This window comes from Homo sapiens, chromosome 3, assembly GCF_000001405.40.
Source record: "Homo sapiens chromosome 3, GRCh38.p14 Primary Assembly".
Taxonomy (NCBI): Eukaryota; Metazoa; Chordata; class Mammalia; order Primates; family Hominidae; genus Homo; species Homo sapiens.
In genome coordinates, this window is record NC_000003.12 from 186,752,896 (window position 1) to 186,778,247 (window position 25,352).

Here is a 25,352-nt window from a genome sequence, read left to right on the forward strand (position 1 = left end):
ATATATTGTGATCTTTTTTAAGTCTTTAGATTTGACTCTTATAAATTATTTTATAATTATAAATATGTGAATGCCTTTTAATAATGATGCACTGCCGGAAAACTGCAGTGGGTAAGAAAAGTCAGTCAGTATGGTATTTGTCATTGCTATTATTGTGCTGTCCTGTGGCTGCCGTCATGAAGTGTGGATCCATAACATAGGTGGAGACTCATCTGTGAGTCATTAGTAGCTGACTCAAGAGGAACCAACAGTGTTTACTCTCTGAATAGGTGTTTCTGCATTTGAGAGGTGATTCAACTTACATTTTTAATCTTGTTCGAGTGAGTAAGGATTCTTTGTGAACTTGGAGCGCTGGTAGAGTGCTTTTCCTCATTGCTAGTAAAATAGGAAATGGAGGGACTCCACGCAGAACCCCCTTCCCAAGTTTACCTTTCCTCCTTTGCAGGGAACTGCTGCCTCCCAGAGGATAAATGCGCAGGTGAAGGTCTTAATGGGAAGCCCATGGCCGCTGGGAGAATGTGTTTCTCTTCTTAATGAATGCATTTCCCTCCTTTCTTTTTCTTGTTCTTACAGGGTTTCTGTGTAATTTCAGTGTGTCTAAGAGTTTTCTTTTCTTTCCTTTTCTTTTTTCAGTTGGAGTCTCGCTCTGTCCCCCAGGCTGGAGTGCAGTGGCGCTATCTTGGCTCACTGCAAGCTCTGCCTCCTGGGTTCAAGCGATTCTCCTGCCTCAGCCTCCTGAGTAGCTGAGATTAGAGGCGTGCGCCACCACACCCGGCTAATTTTGTATTTTTAGTAGAGATGGGGTTTCTCCATGTTGGTCAGGCTGGTCTTGAACGCCCAACCTCAGGTGATCTGCCCACCTTGGACTCTCAAAGCGTTGGGATTACAGGCGTGGAGCCACTGCGCCTGGCCCAATTTTTCTTTTTTGTGCAGTATATTATTGTTATTTTAGGGATTCAATTCTTCTATGTCTTAGTCTTTTTTTTTTTTTAATTGAGATGGGGTTTTGCTATATTGCTCAGGCTGGTCTCGAACTTCTGAGCTCAAGAAATCCTCCTGCCTCAGCCTCCCAAAGTGCTGGGATTAGAGGCATGAGCCACTGTGCCCGGCGTATTTTAGTCATTTTAAATGTGTTCCTTTCATGTTCTCTTTTAGATAGTCTTTCCATTATCCGAAATTCACAACCATGAACCTGGCTGTTTGTTGTTGGTGCTGACTCGCAGGCATGGTAAGTCGTTTCCATGTATGTCTGGAGTATAAGTTCATCGGTAGCAGGGCTTGGTTTTTCCTGAGAGAATTCACTGTGAGAAAGAGTCTTGGCACGTCTGTTCTCTGTTGACACTTGCCGAGAGTCTTGGAACGTCACTGGGCTTGTACACATTTCTGTAAGTTCTCATATTAGAGTTTGGGGTACCACATAGGTAAAAAAAATTCAAACTCTAAACCCCTAGGAGAAACTAAACTCTGAGATGTTAACAGTGAGGGAACATGGGTGAGAGGAATATGGAGAAACTCTGTGTACTACCTGGCAATTTTTCTGCAAACTTACAGTTATTCCAAAATAAAAAGTATTTTTTAGGCCAGGCATAGTGACTCATGCCTGTAATCCCAGCACTTTGGGAGGCCAAGGAGGGTGGATCACTTGAGATCAGGAGTTTGAGACCAGCCTGGCCACCATGGTGAAACCCCGTCTCTACTAAAAATACAAAAATTAGCCAGGCGTGAGGGCGCATGCCTGTAATCTCAGCTACTCGGGAGGTTGAGGCAGGACAATTGCTTGAACCTGCAAGGCAAAGGTTGCAGTGAGCCGAGATTGTGCCACTGCACTTCAGCTTGGGCGACAAAGCGAGACTGTCTCATATATTTATGTATACATAAATATATATGTATAAATATATATATATACATATATATATATATTTTAATGAAGCCCCTAGATTACTAAAGCCAATTCAACCCTTAGGTAGTTTGGAAGGAAAATAAATATCCCCAAAATCAAAGTCAAGCTGGGAACTGCGTAGAGCAAACCTGCCTCCCATTCTATTCCTAAATAAGATAGCTACAAAGAGTTTAAAAAGCTACATACCTCCCTCACAATCTGCCCACCAGGAAATTCCCTGTGGACAAAGTACAGGCTGAACTCAAAGTCATCGCTCTGCTTACATGAGACAAATGCATATCTGATTGCTCCCTGTGCCCTGCTGTTTCATTAAGCCAGACTAAGACATAAGTGATGATTCCTGTAAATTGTGCATTCAGTGAAAGACTACTCAGAAACTCAAAAGAAACCATTTGTCTCTTATCTACCTACGACCTGGAAACCTCCTCCCTGCTTCGAGTTGTCCCGCCTTTCTGGACTGAACCAATGTACATCTTACAATGTACATCTGACATGTCTCATGCCTCCCTAAAATGTATAAAGCCAAACTGTGCCCCAACCACCTTGGGGCACCTGTTGTCAGGACGTCCTGAGGCTGTGTCACGGGTGCATCCTTAACCTTGGCAAAATAAACTTTCTAAATTGATCGAGGCCTGTCTCAGATACCTTTTGGCTTATAGTAGTCAGAGTCAACTTATATCCTTACTGGTCTTCACTTTCCTCCTCATTTGATATATCTGCAGATAGTCCTTTTCCCTTGCAAGCTCAGCTATGAATTTAAAATAATTTGTGTTCACCATGTTCAGTGGCTCACATCTGTAATCCCAGCAACTCAGGAGGCTGAGACAGGAGGATTGCTTGAGATGAGGAATTCAAGACCAGCCTAGGCAATATAGCAAGATCCCCATTTCTTAAAAAATTAGCCAGGTGTGGTGGCACATGCCTGTAGTCCTAGCTACTCAGGAGACTAAGGTGAGACTATAGCTTGAGCCCAGGAGTTTGAGGCTGTGGTGAGCTACGATTGCACCACTGCACTCCAACCTGGGCAACAGGCCGAGACCCTATCTCTGAAAAAGAAAAATTGTGTCATAATTTATCTAGTATTTGTGAATGTTATCAGGTCATATGAATTCACTACACATAGCCTTAATTCCACATTTTCTCTTTAACCCACACTAATCAAGCTTTCATCCCTACCACTGAATTTGTTCTAGTCAACATTACCAATAGCATCCATCTTGCAAATCCAGTGGTCATTTCTTAGTAGTCATATTAATCTTTCGTCAGCATTTACACCTTCAAGAAATCCCTCCTTGAAACTCCATATTCTCTTGGTTTGTCGCACTCTCTTCTTTTTCCTACCTCTCCTCAGTCTTCTCTGCGGACTCATACTCCTTTGCTGATCTTTAAATGTCGAATATGGCTGGGCGCAGTGGCTCATGCCTGTAATCCTTGCACTTTGGGAGGCCGAGATGGGTGGATCACCTGAGGTCAGGAGTTTGAGACCAGCCTGGACAACATGGTGAAACCCCGTCTCTACTAAAAATACAAAAATTAGCCGGGCATGGTCGTGGGCACCTGTAATCTCAACTACTCGGGAGGCTGAAGCAAGAGAATTGCTTGAACCCGGGAGGCGGAGGTTGCAGTGAGCCAAGACCTTGCCAATGCACTCCAGCCTGGGCAACAAGAGTGAAATTCCATCTCAAAAAAATTAAATAAAAATAAATGTTGAATATTTCTGGACTCAGCCCTCTATTGAGTCTCATAATTCTATGCTCATTCTCTAGGTAATGCCATCCAGTCCAGTGATTTTTAGTGCCATATATATGTCAATGACTCCCATACTGAGATCTTCCAACCTGATTTCTAATGCCCAACCCCTGTTGCAGGCTTATATATACAACTTTATATAACTCCCACTTAACATCCCTGTTTGAATGTCAGGCTTAATATGACCGAAACAGAATTCTCAGTTTGGTGTCAACAATAGTAGCAAAGAGAACAGAGAAGTGAATCACTATGGCATAGCAAAAACCTCTTTATGGGATACTAGGTAGGCTTTTGAGAACACACATGGCCCTTCCCAAGTCTAACAGTATGACACGGAAGAAAACATTTCTCTACATGACCATCAAATGTCAGGTGTACCTTCATGAGGGCCTCAATCCAGAGGTCTTTTTATTCACTATTTTTGGAGAATAAACCTCTAGCCAGAGTGGAGGAGGGAAAGCTGCCTAATTACCTGTGGCAGGGGAAGAAATTCCTGAAGTTCCACTGCGTTTTCAACAGATTTTCAACCAGCGTCCATGTTTTACTCTCACGTCCCCATGTCCAAAGGCACATGGTGCCGCCAGTTCCTTGTCTTTGGGGTCTTTCCGCAGCTTAGATGAGGTTGCTTATCAGCTTTCCTCACTTCCCTTTTAGGACTAAGCTTTCTCCCGTCTGCTAATTTTGTCATCATTTTCCCATTTGCTTTCCAATTTAAGCAACTTTGTGGGCTGTTGTCTCTTTTCCAATTTTCTTTAGTGTTTAAGTACTTTTTTTTTTTTTTTTGAGACAGGGTTTTTCTGTCATCCAGGCTGGAGAGCAGTGGCATGATCTTGACTGACAGCAGCCTCCACCTCTCCGGGCTCAGATGATCTTCCCACCTGCAATACCACACCCAACTCATTTTTTGTATTTTTTTGTAGAGGCAGGGTTTCGTCATGTTGCCTAGGCTAGTTTCAAACTCCTGGGCTCAAGGCATCCGCCTGCCTCAGCCTCCCAAAGTGCCGGGATTACAGATACGAGCCACCGCGCCCAGACTTTAAGTCTTTTTTAATAACACTTTTTACTGTACTTTAGTGAGCTTTCAGGAGAGAGTAGAAGCTAAAGAGCAATCTTCTGATTTTAACCAAAAATCAAGACTGTAATCCATAGAGACGAAATCCCGTTTGAAGAGGAGGGGCAAGGAGAAGCCAAGGTAGGGCCATGGGAGCCCTGGGGAGCCTCAAAATCCACCTAGATCCACACACTATTCAGAGTTCCCTGGGAAGCCCTGAAACCTCAATTCCCACTAATTAGCCGACAGGATTGCCCTGGGGAACTCACATCTCAGTTCACGCCAGCAGAGCACTTAAACAACTATCTTGAATAAATCCTTTAATCTCCGTACAATCCAACACCTTCCAGGCCCTATAAGAACCAAGGGCACTGCAAGGAAAGCAGCCAAAGTTGGAAAATAGGTGTCCCGCAGGCATATTTAGTAATTATGCCTCAGCGTGTACATCCATTCCTAATGATTCCTCACTGTCTACAAACACAACTGAGAGATCAGATAGAGATTGCGTACCTCTATTTTATCAGACTTAGATCTGATTAATCTAAATTCCCATATACTTATAGAAATGCATGCCCTGACTCTGCTTTTGAAACTTGGAACATCACTAGGTTCACTTTCTTTTTTTTTGAAACAGGGTTTCACTCTGTTGCCCAAGGTGGAGTGCAGTGCTGCAATCTCGGTTCACTGCAACCTCCAACTCCCGGATTCAAGCAATTCTTGTACCTCAGCCTCCAGAGTAGCTAGGATTACAAGCGCCTGCCACCACACCTGGCTAACTTTTTTGTATTTTTAGTAGAGCCAGGGCTTCGCTATGTTGGCCAGGCTGGTCTCGAACTCCTGGCCTCCAGTGATCCACCTGCCTCGGACTCCCAAAGTGCTGAGATTATAGGCGTGAGCCACTGCGCCTGGCCTACTTAGTTCACTTTATTTTTTTTAATTTTTTTGAGATGGGGTTCCGCTCTTGTTGCCCAGGCTGGAGTACAATGGCGTGATCTTGGCTCACCGCAACCTCCGCTTCCTGGGTTTAAGCAATTCTCCTGCCTCAGCCTCCTGAGTAGCTGGGATTACAGGCATGTGCCACCATGCCCGGCTAATTTTTTGTATTTTTGGTAGAGACAGTGTTTCTCCATGTTGGTCAGGCTGGTCTTGAACTCCTTACCTCAGGTGATCCGCCCACCTCGGCCTCCCAAAGTGCTGGGATTACAGGCGTGAGTTGCCGTGCCCGGCCATACTTAGTTCACTTTCAGTAGATTTTCCTTTCAATATCTACTTCAGTGAGTCTAACAGATTCAACAGTTAATTCAAAATTCGAGAAGGCAGGAAAATCACGAAGTTCCCGTTGAAGAACTCCAGAGGATCTTTTGCCTTTTACTTATTCTGGAATGAGGGAGTTCAGCCAAGGAGCATCTCCTTTGCTTTCTGCTCCCTGGGAGTTTGCCAGCTGAGTTTATCACAGCACCACCTTGTCCCAAAACTAAGTTTTGAGCTGTGTTCATATTAGAAGCACCCTGGGCCAGGCAGCTTGAGACCAGGAGTTTGAGACCAGCCTGGACAATGTGGCAAAACCCTGTCTCTAGACAAAATACCAAAATTAGCTGGGTGTGGTAGTGCACACCTGTAGTCCCAGCTACTGGGGGTTGAGGGCAGGGGTGCTGAGGCAGGAGGATGGCTTGAGCCCAGGAGGTTGAGGCTACAGTGAACCACGATCATGCCACTGCACTCCAGCCTAGGCCACAGAGTGAGACCCTGTCTTCAAAAACAAAACAAAACAAAAAAGACCGGGCATGGTGGCGTGTGCCTGTAATCCCAACTACTTGGGAGGCTGATGTGGGAGGATCACTTAAGCCCGGAGGGCAGAGGGAACGTCTCAGTAGAAGTTTCGGTGTTTCTTATTATATATAATAAGAGACAGAGCCTTGTGTTAGAAAACAAACAAGCAAAAAACAAAAACAAAAAAAACTTTTTTTCTCTAATGTCTCACTACAACAATCAACACAAAAGACTTCTGTCACCAGACATGTGGAGATGTCCCCTCACACACCAAGCAGAGGACACCAGCTGAGTGTCTTCCAGTTTAATTCAATTCTGACGTTATCATCCTGCATAGCCTCAGAAACCACAGGTTGAGGGCTCAGTCCCGCAAGTCTGCCCCGCCCCTTCTCACCATTCACAAGTCTATGCCTCGGGAATTTCTGACCAACAGGCTTCAGGTTGGGGTTCCCACAAACTCCTCTTTGGGTTTGATTAATTTGCTAAAGTGGCTCACACAACTCAAGGAAACACTTACGTTTACTGGCTTATTATAAAGGATATTTTTAAAAGTATGAATAAACAGATGAAGAGAGAGAGATACATAGATACATAGTGAGAGGTCTGGAAGGGTCCCGAGCCCAGGAACTTCTGTGCCCGAGGAGTTGGTTGAATGAGTTCTTTTTTTTTTCTTTTTTTTTTTTGAGATGGAGTTTTGCTCTTGTTGTCCAGGATGGAGTGCAATGTCACAATCTCGGCTCACTGCAACCTCCGCCTCCCAGGTTCAAGCGATTCTCCTGCCTCAGTCTCCCAAGTAGCTGGGATTTACAGGCGCCCGCCACCACGCCCAGCTAATTTTGTATTTTTAGTAGAGGCGGGGTTTCTCCATGTTGGTCAGGCTGGTCTCGAACCCCCACCTCAGGTGATCCACCCGCCTGGGCCTCCGAAAGTGCTGGGATTACAGGCATGAGCCACGGCGCCTGGCTGTTGAATGAGTTCTTATTCACCTTCCTGTCAGCCTCCATGTGTTCAGGTCTCCAAAACTCCCTGAACCCTGTCCTCTTGGGCCTTTTATGAAGACTTCTTGGACAGGCATGACTGAAGCATGGACAACCATGTTGAAATGTGATTGGACAAAAAGGGAATGATCTAAACCCAGCAAGTCCTGTCTGTTCAGATTCTTCTTGGCTCTTCAGTGCAGCATTCTTACCTCCAGGTAATGAGGCAGAACTTCCTCTGGAATGGAGAGTTTTATGAGTCACAATTAGATTAGAATCCTGCATCAGGCAGGTGAAAGAAGGGCAAGAGAAGGTCAAAGAGAGAGATTCTGTTTACTGTGACATGGGCTATGGGAGTTATGAGTCACGAACCATGGATGAAAACACATATATTGGCCAGGTGCTGTGGCTCATGACTATAATCCCATAGCACTTTGGGAGGCTGAAGTGGTAGGATCACTTGAGCTCAGGAGTTCTAGACCAGCCTGGGTAACATAGTGAGCCCTCATCTCTAAAAATAAATAAATAAAACACACACACACACACACACACACACACACACACACATATAAAAAATAATATCACAAGTTCCTGGGAAAGCAAAATGGAGGTGTTCTTTTTTTTTTTCTTTTTTTTTTTTTTTGAGATGGAGTTTTGCTCTTGTTGTCCAGGATGGAGTGCAATGGCACAATCTCGGCTGACTGCAACCTCCGCCTCCCAGGTTCAAGGTTCAAGCGATTCAGTCTCCCGAGTAGCTGGGATTTACAGGTGTGTCTAACCTAATGGTCTGCAACCTGGCCTACAGAGGAAGCTGGAAGAGTTGAAGGAGAGTATTCTGGCCGATAAATTCCTGTCTAGTAGAACTGACTAGAACAGCAGAACTGCATTGCACTGGGCATGCTCAGCCAGACATGCAGAAATTGTTGAATTTTTGTTGCAACTTGGAGTGCCAGTGAGTGACAAAGGCGATACAGGTTGGTCTCCTCTTCATACTGTGGCTTCCGCTGGGCGGGATGAGATTGTAAAAGCCCTTCTGGGAAAATGTGCTCAAGTAAATGCTGTCAGTCAAAATGGCTGTACTCCCCTACATTATACAGCTTCCAAAAACAGGAATGAGATTGTTGTCAAGTTACTAGAAGGCGGGGTTGATCCACATGCTGAGGACCATTGTGAGGCTACAGCAATGCACCGGGCAGCAGCCAAGGGTAACTTGAAGATGATTCCTATCCTTCTATACTACAGAACATCCACGAACATCCAAGACACTGAGGGTAACACTCCTCTACACTTAGCCTGTGATGAGGAGAGAGTGGAAGAAGGAGCAAGTGTCCCAAGGAGCAAGTATTCACATTGAGAATAAAGAAGAAAAGACACCCCTGCAAGCGGCCAGAGGTTGCCTACGTTTAATACTCAAGTGAATGGTGGAAGGTTAAACAGCTTGGATTTATTCTTACCTTTTTTTTTTTTTTTTTGAGACGGAGTCTCGCTCCATCACCCAGGCTGGAGTGCAATGGTGTGATCTTGGCTCACTGCAACCTCTGCCTCCCGGGTTCAAGCAATTCTCCTGCCTCAGCCCTCTGAGTAGCTGGGATTACAGGCATGTGCCACCATGCCCGGCTACTTTTTGTATTTTCAGTAGAGACGGGCTTTCACCATCTTGGCCAGGCTGGTCTCAAACTCCTGACCTCAAGTGATCCGGCCGCCTTGGCCTCCCAAAGTGCTGGGATTACAGGCATGAGCCACCGTGCCCGGCCCTATTCTTACTTTTTATGTTGTGTTGTTGTTCCCAGTGTCCTGGAAACTAATGTACTTGTGCACAATACATCATCTATGAATGATAAAGTTTTCTCACCTTCAAAGTCGTATAAACATGTTGACCGTTGTTCCTGCTGAGTTACTTGTTCTAAGCTTACAGCTTTGCTTTCCAGGCATCAAATAACTGTTGAGATTGTTCTACTGCTGTCATATATTCTTGTATATTGAATTCTGGTCAATTTTGAATAACTAATTCTGTGGCTGTTGTGAGTTTTCAGCACCCTCCCATGTACCTTATATCCCTTTCTGAAACAGAACCACTCCAATAGAAATAAGCCAGTTGTTCTACCAGATGTTTCTATGTGGATTCTGTAATGTGCCTCCATATAGTTAAAACATCCTAACTTGTTTTTCAAGCTTCCTCAGGCCTATGCCAACATTTCTGGTTTTTTGTTTGTTTGTTTGTTTTTGTTTTGTTTTGTTTTGTTTTTGAGATGGATTTTCACTTTTGTTGCCCAGGCTAGAGTGCAATGGCACGATCTCGGCTCATTGCAACTTCTGCCTCCTGGGTTCAAGCAATTCTCCTGTCTCAGCCTCCTGAGTAGTCAGGATAACAGACGCATGCCACCACGCCTGGCTAATTTTTGTATTTTTAGAAGAGACGGGGTTTCATCACATTGGTCAGGCTGGTCTCGAACTCCTGACCTCAGGTGATCCGCCCGCCTCGGCCTTCCAAAGTGCTGGGATTACAGGTATGAGCCACCGCGCCCAGCCTAAAAATTGTTGTTGTTGTTGTTTGTTTGTTTTTTTTTTTTTTTTTTTTTTGAGACGGAGTCTCGCTCTGTCACCCAGGCAGGAGGGCAGTGGTGCAATCTCGGCTCACTGCAACCTCTGCCTCCCGGGTTCAAGCAATTATCTTGCTCAGCTTCTTGAGTAGCTGGAATTATAGGCACATGCCACCACGCCTGGCTAATTTTTGTATTTTTAGTAGAGAGGGTTTTTCACCACGTTGGTCAGGCTGGTCTTGAACTCCTGACCTGGTGATCTGCCAGCCTCGGCCTCCCAAAGTGCTGGAATTACAGATGTGAGCCACCATGCCCAGCCACATTTCTGTTTTGTTCAGCCATGAGATTTAATTTATTTTTGTGATAGGAGGAACATTTCTTTTTCTTTTTTTTTTTTTTTTTTCAGACAGAGTTTCACTCTTGTCATCCAGGCTGGAGTGCAACGGCATGATCTCAGCTCACTGCAACCTCTGCCTCCTGGGTTCAAGTGATTCTCCTGCCTCATCCTCCTGGGTAGCTGGGACTACAGGCGTGTGCCACCATGCCTGGCTAATTCTCTTTTGTATTTTTAGTAGAGACGGGGTTTCACCATGTTGGCCAGTCTGGTCTTGAACTCCTGACTTCAGGTGATCCACCTGCCTTGGTCTCCCAAAGTGCTGGGATTACAGGAGTGAGCCACCGTGCCCAGACGGACATTTACATATTTTAGTGGACCAAATGTTAAGTTGGAGGGTGTGCTCTGAAATAGTAAACAACAATAGCCCATGTACCCACGTATTTTTGTGATGAGCTGTTTACTCTAAAATAAAATGCATGGCTTTTTAAAAATACCTATATTGAGTCATCTTGTATTGAAAAGAATGTTAAGCTTGTTAAAATGATATGTAACAAAAATGTATTTTGATTTGTATTTCGGAAACTAAAAAATAAGATGTTGAAAGAAAAAAAATCACAAGCCTGATAAGTTGTAATGAAGGTTTTCTTCACCAATCCGTTTCCTTTAATCCTGATATCACCAGACTGTACATATTCCTCACCCCTTCTTCTTATTTATTTTATTCTGTTTTATTGTATTTTGTTTTTTGAGACAGGGTCTCACTCTGTCGCCCAGGCTGGAGTGCAGTGGAGGATAACAAAGTAATGGTGAATACTTTGAAAATTTGAAGTACTTGACATAATAGCTTTCTTACAAAGCATATTAAATGATATTGTAATTTATAGTTTCTTTCATTGAGATCAAGGCTAAGCCCAAAATTTTAAAGGAAAATAAAAATGAAAGGGCACTACCCCTTGACTCTTTTCTCTCTTTAGGGAAGACTCAAAGACCTTCTAGGAGGTAGTATCAGAAAGTACCAGCGACTTAGGCATCACTTCAAGTGTTTCAATGGGGACAGGCAGGAAAGTGGCATAGTGGTGGTTCTAGGAGATATTTTTTCCCCCAAATCCTAGTAGTTAATCAAAAATAATCGTCACCAGCAACAACTGAAAATACTTATGGGGCTAGTCACAGACTTCAGCCGTCCCACTATTTAGAATTTTACATTGAAAACAAGATCTAGCTGGGTGAGGTGGCTCACGCCTGTAATCCCAACACTTTGGGAGGCCGAGGCAGGCAGATCACCTGAGGTCGGGAGTTTGAGACCAGCCTGGCTAACATGGCGAAACTCTGTCTCCACTAAAAATACAAAAAATTAGCCAGGCATGGTGGTGGGTGCCTGTAATCTCAGCTACTTGGGAGGCTGAGGCACGAGAATTGCTTGAACCCGGGAGGTGGAGGTTGCAGTGAGCCGAGATCGTGCCATTGCACTCTAGCCTAGGAGACAGAGCTACGCTCTGTCTCAAAAAAAAAAAAATCTACATTTGCCTCTGCCATGATTTGGCTAATGACTACAGATTCCAGTAGGCTACAATCTGTCAGTACCAGCATATCCCAAACAGTCAGAAGATTTCAGATGGAGTACTTATTTTGGTAGTTATGTGATTATTTTAATCAGCACTGGAAAAAATATAACAAATTTAACCTGTGATTTCACTGAAGCTAAGTAAATGCGAATTGTAACCTATAGTTACAAAAATTTGTTAAGAAAAACTAGGCATCCCAGCACTTTGGGAGGCTGAACTGCGAGGATTGCTTGAGGCCAGGAGTTTGAGACCAGCCTGGGTAACACAGCAAGACCTCATCTCTTAAAAAAAAAAAAAGAAAAAGGAAAAGAAAAATTAGGTAAATATGTCAAAGAGTACTCAGGTATAGCAAAAATTATGAAGCCTGAATAACTGAAGAATGACTGGATTTATACCAAAAAAATAAGGTCTGTAAACTGCTGCTTTGCTTCTGAGTTGACTGCGCCTCAGGCTTAGATGCAGGGACTACATTTAAAGGGCACCCTTACCAACCCATGATATAGGCTCAGCTTTGAATTTGGGCAAACACCATACAAAGTCTACAAATAATATCAGCAGAAGTAACAATACAAAACAATGAATGTGGGAGTAAATAGGAGGAACTATTCTGTCACTCTGAGCTTGGTTCCTTAATGTAGTAGGAGGCGGAGGTTGCAGTGAGCAGAGACGGTGACAGTGCACTCCAGCCTGGGTAACAGAGTGAGACCCCGTCTCAAAAAAAAAAAAAAAAAATCTTGAGATGGAGAGATTATCTTGGATTATTCAGGTGGGCCCATTGGAATCACAAAGTCCTTATAAGAGGGAGGCAGGACATTGGTAGACCGAGGCAGGCGGATCATGAGGTCAGGAGATTGAGACCAGCCCGGCTAACACGGAGAAACCCCGTCTCTACTAAAAATACAAAAAATTAGCCGGGAGTGGTGGTGGGTGCCTGTAGTCCTGGCTACTTGGGAAGCTGAGGCAGGAGAATGGCGTGAACCCAGGAGGCGGAGCTTGCAGTGAGCCGAGATCGCACCACTGCACTCCAGCCTGGGCGACAGAGCGAGATTCTGTCTCCAAAAAAAAAAAAAAAGAGGAAGGCAGGAGGGTCAGAGTCAAAGAAGGTGTGACAATGATGAAAGGAGAGGTCAGAGTGATGTGGCTATGAGCCAAGGAATGTAGGCAGTCTCCAGATAATGAAAAAGGCCTGCCCTGGAGCCTCCAGAAGGAACACATCTCTGCCTACTGCTTGATTTTAGCTCTGTGAGACCCATTTCAGATTTTTGATTTTTTTTTTAACTAAATATCCAGACTTCAAGGAGACCATTTCAGATTTTTAACCTCCAGAGCTGTAAGATACTAAATTTGCGGCCAGGCGCAGTGGCTCATGCCTGTAATCCCAGCACTTTGGGAGGCTGAGGCGGGTGGATCACCTGAGGTCAGGAGTTTGAGACTAGCCTGACCAACATGGTGAAACCCCGTCTCTACTAAAAATACAAAAATTAGCTGGCCGTGCTGGCGGGCACCTGTAATCCCAGCTACTTGGGAGGCTGAGGCAGAAGAATCGCTTGAACCAGGAAGGCAGAGGTTGCAGTGAGCTGAGATCACGCCACTGCACTCCAGCCTGGGCGACAGAGTAAAACTCCATCTCAAAAAAAAAAAACGATACTAAATTTGTGTTGTTTTTAAGTCACTAACTTGGCAGTTTTAGTTACAGCAGCAACAGAAAACTAATACAAGCACCAAGGCACTGGGCTTTATATTGTGGGAGATACAAAGATTAATAAAACATAATCTACCCTCTCAAGGTGGATACAATTTAGTAGAAGAGATGAAACACATTACTAAATATGCTAGAACATATCATAAAAGCAGCAGAAAGAATGGCTATGGGAGTCCAAAGGAAAGAAACCACTCTGTTTCTAGGGTTATTCATACTGGAGGAGGAGGTGTTTGAGCTGATCTTAAAAGGATAATGCAGATTTTCTTTTTCTTTTTGGAGACATGGTCTCGCTCTGTCACCCAAGCCAAAGTGCAGTGGCGCGATCTCAGCTCACTGCAGCCTCTACCTCCTGGGCTCAAGTTATCCACCCAGATCTCGGCTCACTGCAGCCTCTGCCTCCTGGGCTCAAGTTATACACCCACCTCACCCTCCTGAGAAGTTTGGACTACAAGCGTGAGCCACTGCACACCGCACCCAGGCGGGATAAGTAAAATTTTTTTTTTTTTTTAGATGGAGTCTCTGTCGCCCAGGCTGGAGCACAGTGGTGCCATCTCAGCTCACCGCAACCCCCGCCTCCTGGGTTCAAGCAATTCTCCTGCCTCAGCCTCCTGAGTAGCTGGAACTACAGGCACGCGCCACCATGCCAAGCTAATTTTTTTTGTATTTTTAGTAGAGACGGGGTTTCACCATGTTGGCCAGGATGGTCTCGATCTCTTGACCTAGTGATCCACCCGCCTCGGCCTCCCAAATTGCTGGGATTACACGCGAGAGCCACCGTGCCCTGCCAGGATAAGTAAATTTTTAGAGATGAATAAAAAAAGGTGGAGAAAGTGGCACACTTTTACAAATTAAATCACAATATAAGGCATTTTTAAATAAACCTATTATTAGTCATTTGATAAAGGAAATACTCCCATAATAAAAAACAATCATGCCCTAACATATCTTTTGTTTTAAGGAAGACGCAGGCCGGGCGTGGTGGCTCACGCCTGTAATCCCAGCACTTTGGGAGGCTGAGGCGGGCGGATCACAAGGTCAAGAGATCAAGACCATCCTGGCCAACATGGTGAAACCCTGTCTCTATTAAAAGTACCAAAAAAATTAGCTGGGGGTAGTGGCGCACGCCTGTAATCCCAGCTACTCGGGAGGCTGAGGCAGGAGAATCGCTTGAACCTGGGAGGCAGAGGTTGCAGTGAGCCAGGATTGTGCCACTGCACTCCAGCCTGGCGACAAAGCAAGACTCCATCTCAAAAAATAAAAATAAAAATAAAAAATAAGGAAGACACAATTAGATTTGCTCGAACCTAAATAATGACAGCATTGTAATTATAGTTTTAAAAATTATAAATGTCACTGGGTCCAGTGGCTCATGCCTGTAATCCCAGCACTTTGGGAGGCTGAGGTGAGAGGATTACTTGAAGCCAAGAGTTCAAGACCAACCTGGGTGACAGAGCAAGGCCCTATCTCTACAAAAATAAAAATTAAAAAATCACTGGGCATGGTGGCACCTGCCTGTAGTCCCAGCTACTTGGGAAGCTATGGTGGAAGGATGGTTTGAGCCCAGGAATTTGAGGTTGCAGTGAGCTATGATTGAGCCACTGTACTTCAGCCTGGCAACAGAGGGCGACCCCATCTAAAAAAAAAAAAAAAAAAAAATTATAGTTCTAATATATGCTCATGGTACTAAAAAAACATAAACTGAACAGTAGTGTGTCAAGCAAAAAGTAAGTTTTCTGGCCTGGTGCGGTGGCTCACATCTGTAATCTCAGCATTTTGGGAGGCCAAGTGGGGGCGGCTCACCTGAGGTCAGGAGTTCAAGACCAGCCTGGCTAACATTGTGAAACCCTGTCTCTACTAAAAATACAAAAATCAGCCAGGCATGGTGGCACATGCTTGTAATTCCAGCTACTTGGGAGGCTGAGGCAGGAGAATAGCTGGAACCTGGGAGGCAGAGATTGCAGTGAGCCAAGAGCGTGCCAATGCACTCCAACCTGAGTGACAGAGTGAGTCTGCCTCAAAAAAAAGTAAGGTTTTCCTGTCTGTTTCCCATTTGCACTCCCTATTAGAGGAAATCACTATTTCCTTCTAGAAAAGTTTGATTGAAATAATTATGTATAATACATGTTTCTCTGCATAAACCTACGCATGTACCCATCCATTTTTTTTTTAAATATAGAGATGGGGTCTTACTATGTTGCCCAGGCTGGTCTCAAACTCCTGAGCTGAAGCAATCCTCCCACCTCGGCCTCTCAAAGTGCTGGGATTATAGATGTGAGCCACCATGACCTGCTTATCCATCCATTTTTTAAATTATTACTATTTTTGAGACAAAGTCTAGCTCTGTCTCCCAGGCTGAACTGTAGTGGCACAATCTCGGCTCACTGCATCCTCCGCCTCCCGGGTTCAAGCGATTCTCCTACCTCAGCCTCCTGAGTAGCTGGGATTACAGGTGTGTGCCACCATGTCCGGCTCATTTTTGTATTTTTAGTAGAGACAGGGTTTTGCCATGTTAACAGGCTGGTCTCGAATTCCTGAGCTCAGGTGATCCACCTGCCTCAGCCTCCCAAAGTGCTGGGATTATAGGCGTGAGCCACTGCACCCGGCTTACCCCTCCATTTTTTCACACAAAGGACCTTGCAAAATATAATGATCTTTGAGAAGTTACAATATATAAACATCTTTGCATATTGGTACACAGAGATCTAGAGACTTCATTGTTATTGTTATTTTTCACTAATGTCATTTTGTTACAGGAAGGGGGTCCCGATCCAGACCCCAAGAGAGGATTCTTGGATCTCGCACAAGAAAGATTTCAGGGTGAGTTCACAGTGCAAAGTAGAAGCAAGTTCATTAAGAAAGTAAAGTAGTGAAAGTACAGCTATTCCATAGACAGAGTAGAACGTTCCCGAAAGTAACAGGAAGAACGCATCCACCCTAGGTACAATACTTGTATATATAGAATAAAAAAAGATCATGGGAAGATGTGCTGTGCTCAAGGGTTTGTGATAAAGGATTAATTTTCTTAATTACTGTATTTTGCAAGAATCGATATTATTATCTTTAAAGCAAAATTAGGAATGCCTTTGTTCTCAAGATATTGGGATATCAGGACACTCCCAAGTCTGGGTCTGTTTAGTAAACATTATCAATTTGTTCCCTTACTAAACATCTAGAGGCTAGGAATACCTTTCTGGTACAGCAGCCCAGCAAGTTCCAGCTTCATTTTCCTAGCCCTCACTCAAGATGGAGTCTGTCTGGTTAGAACGCCTCTGGCAATTCTATTGTACCAGTATTCACTCTAGGAGGCCATATTACATTTAACAATCATTCTCTCTCTTTATTTTATTTTGTTGGAGACAGAGACTCACTCTGTCACCCAGGCTGGAGTGCAGTGGCACAATCACAGCTTACTGCAGCCTCGGACTCCTGGATTCAATCAATCCTCCCACCTCGGCTTCCCGAGAAGCTGGGACTACAGGCGTGCACTACTATACCCAGATAATTTATTTTTAAATTTTTATTTCTTAACTTTTATTTATTATTTATTATTATTATTTTTTTGAGATGGAGTCTTGCTCTGTCGCCCAGGCTGGAGTGCAGTGGTGTAATCTCAGCTCCCTGCAAACTCCCCCTCCTGGGTTCAAGTGACTCTCCTGCCTCAGCCTCCCAAGTAGGTGGAATTACAGGTGCACATCACCATGCCCAGCTAATTTTTATATTTTTTAACCCCTGACAATCACTACTGTTTTCTATTTCTATAATTTTGTCTTTTCAAAAATGTTATATCTTGCAGGAGGTAACTATTTATTTATTTATTTGAGACAGATGTTTACATATTGTAAATGCTCAAAGATCATTATATTTTGCAAGAGACCAGGTTTCACCATGTTGGCCAGGCTGGTCTCAAACTCCTGACCTCAGGTGATCCACCTGCCTCAGCCTCCAAAAGCGTTGGGATTACAGGTGTGAGCCACTGGGCCTGGCCCATGTTGCCCTTTAATAGCCACAGTTCATCTGTCTCCTGCCCCCATTCTCTCCTTAACCCCTGACAACCACTTGTGTTTTCTGTTTCTATAATTTTGTCTTTTCAAAAATGTTATATCATGCAGGAGGTAACTATTTATTTATTTATTTATTTATTCATTTATTTGAGACAGAGTCTCACTCTATCACCCGGCTGGAGTGCAGTGGTATGATCTCAGCTCACTGCAACCTCCACCTCCTGGGTTCAAGCAATTCTCCTGCCTCAGCCTCCCGAGTAGCTGGGATTACAGTCATGCGCCACCATGCCCAGCTAATTTTTGTATTTTTAGTAGAAATGGGCTTTCCCCATGTTGGCCAGGCTGGTCTCGAACTCTTGACCTCAAGTGATCCACCTGCCTAGGCCTCCCAAAGTGCTGGGATTACAGGCGTGAGCCACCGCGCCTGGCCAAGGGGTAGCTTTTTAGCATTGATTTAAAATTCAGCATAATAATCTGGAGATTCATACAGGTTGTGATATGTAATAATAAATAGACCCTTTCTTTTTATTACCAAGTAGTATTCCACAGTATGAATATATCACAGTTTACCCATTCATCCATTGAAAGACATCTGGATTGTTTTCAGTTTCTGCCTATTATAAATAAAGCTGCTCTGAACATTCATATCAGAGTCTTTGTGTGAACATAAGTCTTCATTTCTCTCAGCTAAATGCCCAAGAGTGAAATTGCTGGATCACATGGTATGGTGGTGGTTACCTGTTTAGCTTTTTAAGAAACTATTGCTGCAACCAGGCGTAGTGGCTCACGCCTGTAATCCCAGCACTTTGGGAGGCCAAGGCGGGCGGATCACCTGAGGTCAGGAGTTTGAGACCAGCCTGGCCAACATGGTGAAACTCGTCTCTAATAAAAATACAAAAATTAGTCAGGCATGGTGGCGGGTTCCTGTAATCCCAGCTTCTCGGGAGGCTGAGGCAGGAGAATCTCTTGAGCCTGGGAGTCAGAGGTTGCAGTGAGCCGAGACCATGAAACTGCACTCCAGCCTGGGTGAAAGAGCGAGACTCCGTATCAAAAAAAAAAAGAAAGAAAAGAAAAGAAACTACTACTGCTTTCCAGGTGGCTACACCTCACTTTACATTTCCATCAGCAGAGGATGAGAGATCCAGTTTCTCTGCATACTTGTCAGAATTTGTTGTTGTCACTTTGTTATTTTAGCCATTCTAATTAGGTGTACAACGATATTTCATTGTGGTTTTTATTTGCATTTCTCAAATGGCTAATAGTGTTAAACATCTTTTTGTATGCTTGTTTGCCATCTGTATATCCTCCTCAGTGAAATGTTTGTTTTCTTTTTTAAATTTTGTTTAATGTTTTAAAAATATGCAACACTTCATGAATTTGCATGTCATCTTTGCGCAGGGCCCGTGCTAATCTCTGTATTGTTCCGATTTTTTTAATACATGTGCTGTGGAAGTGAGCACAGAATGTTTTTCAAATCTTTTGTTCATGCTGTATTAGGACTGTTTTGTTTTTGCTTTTGTTTTTGAGACGGAGTCTTGCTCTGTTGTCCAGGCAGGAGTGCAGTGGCTTGATCTGGGCTCATTGCAACCTCCGTCTCCCGGGTTCAAGAGATTCTCCTGCCTCGGCTTCCCGAGTAGCTGGGATTACAGGAGTCTGCCGCGACGCCCGGCTAATGTTTATATTTTTATTACAGACGGGATGTCACCATGCTGGCCAGGCTGGTCTCGAACTCCCAGCCTCAGGCAATCTGCCCGCCTCGGCCTCCCAAACTGCTGGGATTACAGGCATGAGCCACCGCGCCTGGCCAAAACTGTTGTTTTTTACTGTTGAGTTTTTTGCGAGTTTTTATCTATTCTAGATACCAGTACTTTGCCAGATACGTGGTTTGCACATATTTTCTCCTCTATAGCTTATCTTTTCATCCTTATCTTAACAGGGTCTTTCAAAAGCCGAGGTTTTCCTGTGCGCTCGGAGGAGCCATAGCTGCCAGCTGGGCTGGCGGCGGGTGCCCCCAGCCCTTGTGGGCGGCGGGCAGAGCTGGCCTGGGGGCCGGGTCCCGTGGGGGGTCGCGCAGACAGTGTGTCCGGAGCGCCCCCGGCGGGAGCGCAGGCTGCGGGGCGAGAGGGAAGAGGAGGCGGCGGATAAGGTGATGGCGAGAAGATGGAGGAAGAGCAGACGAAGGAAGAGAAAGGAGATGGAAGAGAGAATGTCACCAGAGGAGACCGAAGGAACAAATTTTGACTTTGCAGGAGAAGCTGTGGGCCAGGCAGAAAGAAAAGGACCAGCTTTTTCTGCAGCTGAAGAAAGTTTCCATGAGGAAGAAAAACGGAGGCGAAAGGAGCAGAGCGACCTGACCTTCTGACATCCGCTGTGAGCCGGCGGAGCCCGATTATTCACGTGGGGACTCGCTTCCTCCTCGGCATGCAGGCAGCGCTGGAGGGCACGATCGCCCGGGCATTGTCATAGCAGCTGACCCAGCCAAGCAGATGTTCAGGCCCCACGTGCTTACGACCCGGAAGTCCGTGGGCTCAGCGGCGGCTTTTGCAGGGACCCCAGAGCAGGCAGCCTGGGCGGTGCCGCTGGGACTGCTCAGCCCCTACCTCAATATGGGCCCACATAGCTAGCCTATGGCCCTAGTCGGCAGCTCAGAGCAGTTCAGTGCTCCCTGGGGTGCATTCATGTCCCAGCCACAACCTTATGTTCTGCTGGGCCACTTTCAGCACACCCAGACAGGGTTCCTCTTCTGGTGCTGCTCTGTCTTTGAAACCGCAGATAGACCATGCTAACCAGCACACAGGTTTCCCTGGTCCATCCTCCCTGACCCCCATGCATGCCCAGGTTCTGCATCCAGGCCCTAGACTCCTTGCCTAATCCCAGCTCCCCGCGAAGATGCAGCCAGCAGGAACGTCTAGGTTTTGCAGCTACCAACCAACCAGGCCCTCAGCAACTCGTCATCCAACACAGCCAGAACCTGTCATGCTGCAAGTGACCATCAGATAGCTTCAATTTCGTCCTGCCCCCACACACACACCATGGGTGTGGGTTCCCCCCGAGTGTCCCAGCCCAAGGCCAATATAATCTACTTGCCATTGGGAGAAGGAGAAGGAAAAGGACAAGATGGAGAAGGAGGAGGAAGGAAGAAGAGAGCAACGGGTTTTAAGGATAAGTCCAATTTATCAATTTTTCCTTTTTATTTTTTCATTTGTCTCAAGCATGCTCATAATTGGTCACCAAAGCATTTTCGTCATGGCTGCTTTACAACCTTGACCAGTATAATAATTCCAACATTCCTATCATCTCAGAGTTGGCATCCATTGTCTTTTTCATTCAGTTTGAGATCTTCATGATTTTTTTTTTTTTTTTTTGAGACGGAGTCTCCCTTTGTCACCCAGGCTGGAGTGCAATGGCACAATCTCTGCTCACTGGAACCTCCACCTCCCGTGTTCAAGCGATTCTCCCACCTCAGCCTCCCGAGTAGCTGGGATTACAGGCACCTGCCATCATGCCCGGCTAATTTTTTTGCTATTTTTGTGGAGATGGGGTTTCACCATGTTGGCTAGGCTGGTCTTGAACTCCTGACCTCAGGTGATCCTCCCACTTTGGTTTCCCAAAGGGCTGGGATTACAGGTGTGAGCCACCGCGCCCGGTCACGATTTTTGGCTTAAGTGATTTTTTTTTTTTTTTTTTTTGAGACGGAGTCTCGCCCTGTCCCTCAGGCTGGAGTGCAGTGGCGCAATCCGGGCTCACTGCAAGCTCCGCCTCCCAGGCTCACGTCATTCTCCTGCCTCAGCCTCCCCAGCAGCTGGGACTACAGGTGCCCGCCGCCATGCACTGGCTAATTTTTTGTATTTTTAGTAGAGACGGGGTTTCACCGTGTTAGCCAGGATGGTCTCGATCTCCTGACCTTGTGATCCGCCCGCCTCGGCCTCCCAAAGTGCTGGGATTACAGGCGTGAGCCACCGCGCCTGGCCGGCTTAAGTGATTTTCTATTGAAATCTGGAAACTTCTGTATTGTTATGTGACTCAAGATCTTTTTTTCCTCTCTGTATTTTTCTTTCTTTCTTTCTTTCTTTTTTTTGTTTTTTTTTGAGACGGAGTCTCGCTCTGTTGCCTAGTCTGGAGTGCAATGGCGCGACCTCAACTCACTGCAACCTCCGCCTCCTGGGTTCAAGTGATTCTCCTGCCTCAGCCTCCTGAGTAGCTGGGATTATAGGCGCGTGACACCACACCCGGATAATTTTTGTATTTTTAGTGGAGATGGGGTTTCACCATGTTGGCCAGGCTGGTCTCAAGCTCCTGACCTCAAGTGATCCACCCGCCTCGGCCTCCCAAAGTGTTGGGATTACAGGCATGAGCCACCGTATCTGGCCTGTTTTTTAAATCAGTAGACTAACAACTACAATTAGGTGGGAAAACAAAACATTCTAATGGATTAACTTCATTCTAACTAGATTATCTGGCTAGGAATATATTTTTATTTTGGTAAAATAGGAATAACATAAAAAGTACCATTTTAACCATTTTTAAGCGTATACTTCAGTAGCATTGTGCATATTCATGATGTGATACAACCATGACGGCTATTCATCTGCAAACCTTTTTCCCCAAATTGGAACTCTGTTCACATTAAACAGTAACTCCTCATTCTCCCCTCCCCCAGGCCCTGATAACCCTCCTACTTTCTGTTTCTATGCTCATATAAGTGGACTCATATACTACGTGTCCTTCTGTGTCTGGTTTATTTCACTTAGCATAATGTCTTCAAAGGTGCATTCGTACTGTAGCATGGATCGGAATTTCATTCCTTTTTAAGGCTGAATAATATTCCATTGATGTATAAAGCACAATTTGATTTTTTGTGTTGTTTGTTTTTTGGAGACAGGGTCTTGTTCTGTTGCCCCCGGGCTGGAGTGCAGTGGCGTGATCATGGCTTACTGCTGCCTTCATCTCCCAGGCTCAAGCAAGCCTCCTGCCTCAGCCTTCCCCGAGTAGCTGGGACCACAAGCACATGCCACCACACCTGGCTAATTACTTGATTTTTTTGTAGAGATGGGGTCTCCCTATATTGCCCAGGCTGGTCTCAAACTTCTGAACTCAACTGATCTTCATGTCTCAGCCTCCCAGAGTGCTGGAATTACAGGCGTGAACCACCACGCCCAGCCACACTTGTTTTATCTACTGATCCGTCAATGGATGCTTGGGTTGCTGTCACCTTTTGGCTATTGTGAATAATGCTGCTATGAACACTGGTGTACAAATAATCTGTTTGCATCCCTGCTATCAATTATTTTAGGTATATACTCAGAAGTGGAATTGGTGGATCATATGATAATTCTTTAATTTTTGGAGTAACTGCCATACTGTTCACAGTGGCTACACCATTTTACATTTCTACTAGCAATGTACAAGGATTTTGGTTTTCCACATCCACACCAACAATTGTTATTTTCTATTTTTTTAAAAAATTAATAGTCATTTTGGTCAGCCGTGCTGGCTCACACCTGTAATCCCAGCACTTTGGGAGGCGGAGGCAGGAGGATTGCTTAAGCCTAGGAGTTCACGACCAGCCTAAGCAACAATTGAGACTCGCCTCCCAAGCCTTCCCACCCCGTTCTCTATTTAAAATAATAATAGTCATCTTAATGGGTGTGAAGTGGTATCTCACTGCGGTTTTGATTTGCATTCCTCTAGTGATTAGGGATGCTGAGCATTTTTCACATGCTCATTAGATCTTACTTCAATCTCTGGCTCTGGCTGGCTTTCTCTGATGCCGCTCTGGCCGGGGAAGGACAGCACAGCCTTCCTACTGCCAGCAGGAGGTAGAAGTCCAGATTTCTCACACACACCAGAGGGGATGATCCTTGTTACTGCTGGGTGGGGGCTGGAGTTCCTCATGTGGTCTCCACCGACACTACAATGAGGTGGCCTCATGACGACTGTGCGATCAAGTCCTGATTTCCCAGCGGGCCTTGTATAACACCACCTTAGTGGGATCTGAAGGATCACCTTTCTTCCTGCCCAGTGGGCCTGGAAGTTGAAGCTGCTCCGTGGTCTCCTCTGACAATGTGGTGGTGGTAGTGGCGGGGGTCTGGGGGTGGAGGTTGTCAGAGAACCTCATTACAGCCTCCCAAGGGTAGAATCGTGGGCTCCCCAGTTGGCTTTTGCTGGCATGGGTGTGGGTAGGACCACAGCTGCTTCTGTGGTATTTGGCTGAAATAATGGAATTACTGTCTACAACTTTTCTATCTTCCTAGAATGCCTCTGTCCTGGGTAGAGAAAGCAGCCTTTTGCTGGAGCTTTTCTAGTCTATGCCGGTTGGCTTTTCTGGGTTGCTAGCTTCTTCAGTTTTGTTTTGTTTTGTTTTTTTTTTTTTTTTTTTTTGAGGTGGAGTCTCGCTCTGTCGCCCAGGCTGGAGTGCAGTGGCACGATCTCAGCTCACTGCAAGCTCCGCCTCCAGGGTTCACGCCATTCTCCTGCCTCAGACTCCCAAGTAACTGGGACTACAGGTGCCCGCCACCACGCCCGGCTAATTTTTTGTATTTTTAGTAGAGACAGGGGTTTCACCATGTTAGCCAGGATGGGCTTGATCTCCTGACCTCGTGATCCGCCCGCCTCGGCCTCCCGAAGTGCTGGGATTACAGGCGTGAGCCACCGCGTCCGGCCGCTTCTTCAGTTTCAACTCAGGATGTGTGAAGGAGGAAGAAAACCCAGGGAATTCACTATCATGTGTATCTTGAGGTTCCTACCTGTCTGCCTTCTTTTCCCCACCTCCCAGAGTCTTCTTGTGTTTGCTTTATATATAATGTCCAGGGTTTTCAGTTGCACTTAGTAGGAGGAACAGGAAAAATTTTGCCTACTCCATCTCTCCAGAAGTAGAAGTAGACCTCACTGTTTGTAATGACTAATACACACGGCATACAATTTACTAACCAATCTTCTTTTGACAGCCATTGAAGTCGTTTATAGTTTTATTATTTTAATAGTTTTTTTTCCTATTAAAATAATGAAGGGCCGGGTGCGGTGGCTCAGCCTGTAATCCCGGCACTTTGCGGAGCCGAGACGGGTGGATCACCTGAAGTCAGGAATTCAAGACCGGCCTGGCCAACATGGCAAAACCCTGTCTCTTCTAAAATACAAAAATTAGCTGGGTGTGGTGGCATGCACCTGTAATCCCAGCTACTCAGGAGACTGAAACAGGAGAACCACTTGAATCTGGAAGGTGGAGGTTGCAGTGAGCCAAATCGCACCATTTGCACTCCACCCTGGGCAACAGAGAGAGATTCTGTCTCAAAAAACAAAAACAAACAAACAAAAAAAGAAAAAAAAAAAGAAAAAATAGAGGAAAAAATTTTTACCTAAAGTATGATTTCCATTATGTTTAAAAACAAACAGACATTCTTGGGGTTGGTGATTGTTTTCTGTCATTTCCAAAAAACGATATAACTATTATTTTTAATGAACTATATAGGAATATATGTATATATATAGTTTATATATACATATATAGTTTATACATATATAGTTTATATATACGTATATATAGTTTATATATACGTATATATAGTTTATATATGTATATATAGTTTATATATACGTATATATAAATATATAGTTTATATATATGTATATATAAACTTTATCTCATTTATATGATAAAGATGAAAGATGAGGCCGGGCAACGTTATAAGAATTAAAAGAGATAAATTCCTGGCCAGGCATGGTGGCTCACACCTGTAATCCCAGCACTTTGGGAGGCAGAG

The 25,352-nt window shown here is 44.9% G+C and overlaps 3 pseudogenes, besides 2 other annotated features; 2 read left to right on the forward strand and 1 right to left on the reverse strand.

Annotated features, from left to right (window-relative positions):
• PSMD10P2 (proteasome 26S subunit, non-ATPase, 10 pseudogene 2) lies at positions 8,216–10,930 on the forward strand (annotated as a pseudogene).
• RNU6-1105P (RNA, U6 small nuclear 1105, pseudogene) lies at positions 18,946–19,052 on the reverse strand (annotated as a pseudogene).
• GPS2P2 (G protein pathway suppressor 2 pseudogene 2) lies at positions 19,717–20,684 on the forward strand (annotated as a pseudogene).
• Positions 22,924–23,758: an enhancer, noted in NCBI's record as "OCT4-NANOG-H3K27ac-H3K4me1 hESC enhancer chr3:186493608-186494442 (GRCh37/hg19 assembly coordinates)". NCBI's record gives its function as "activates a minimal SCP1, AML or CMV promoter by ChIP-STARR-seq in naive and primed H9 embryonic stem cells {active_cell/tissue: H9 hESC(naive and primed)}" and the evidence as "EXISTENCE:reporter gene assay evidence [ECO:0000049][PMID:30033119]".
• Positions 24,498–24,699: a silencer, noted in NCBI's record as "fragment chr3:186495182-186495383 (GRCh37/hg19 assembly coordinates)". NCBI's record gives its function as "represses an EF-1alpha promoter that drives an FKBP-Casp9 reporter gene in an ReSE screen in K562 erythroleukemia cells {active_cell/tissue: K562}" and the evidence as "EXISTENCE:reporter gene assay evidence [ECO:0000049][PMID:32094911]".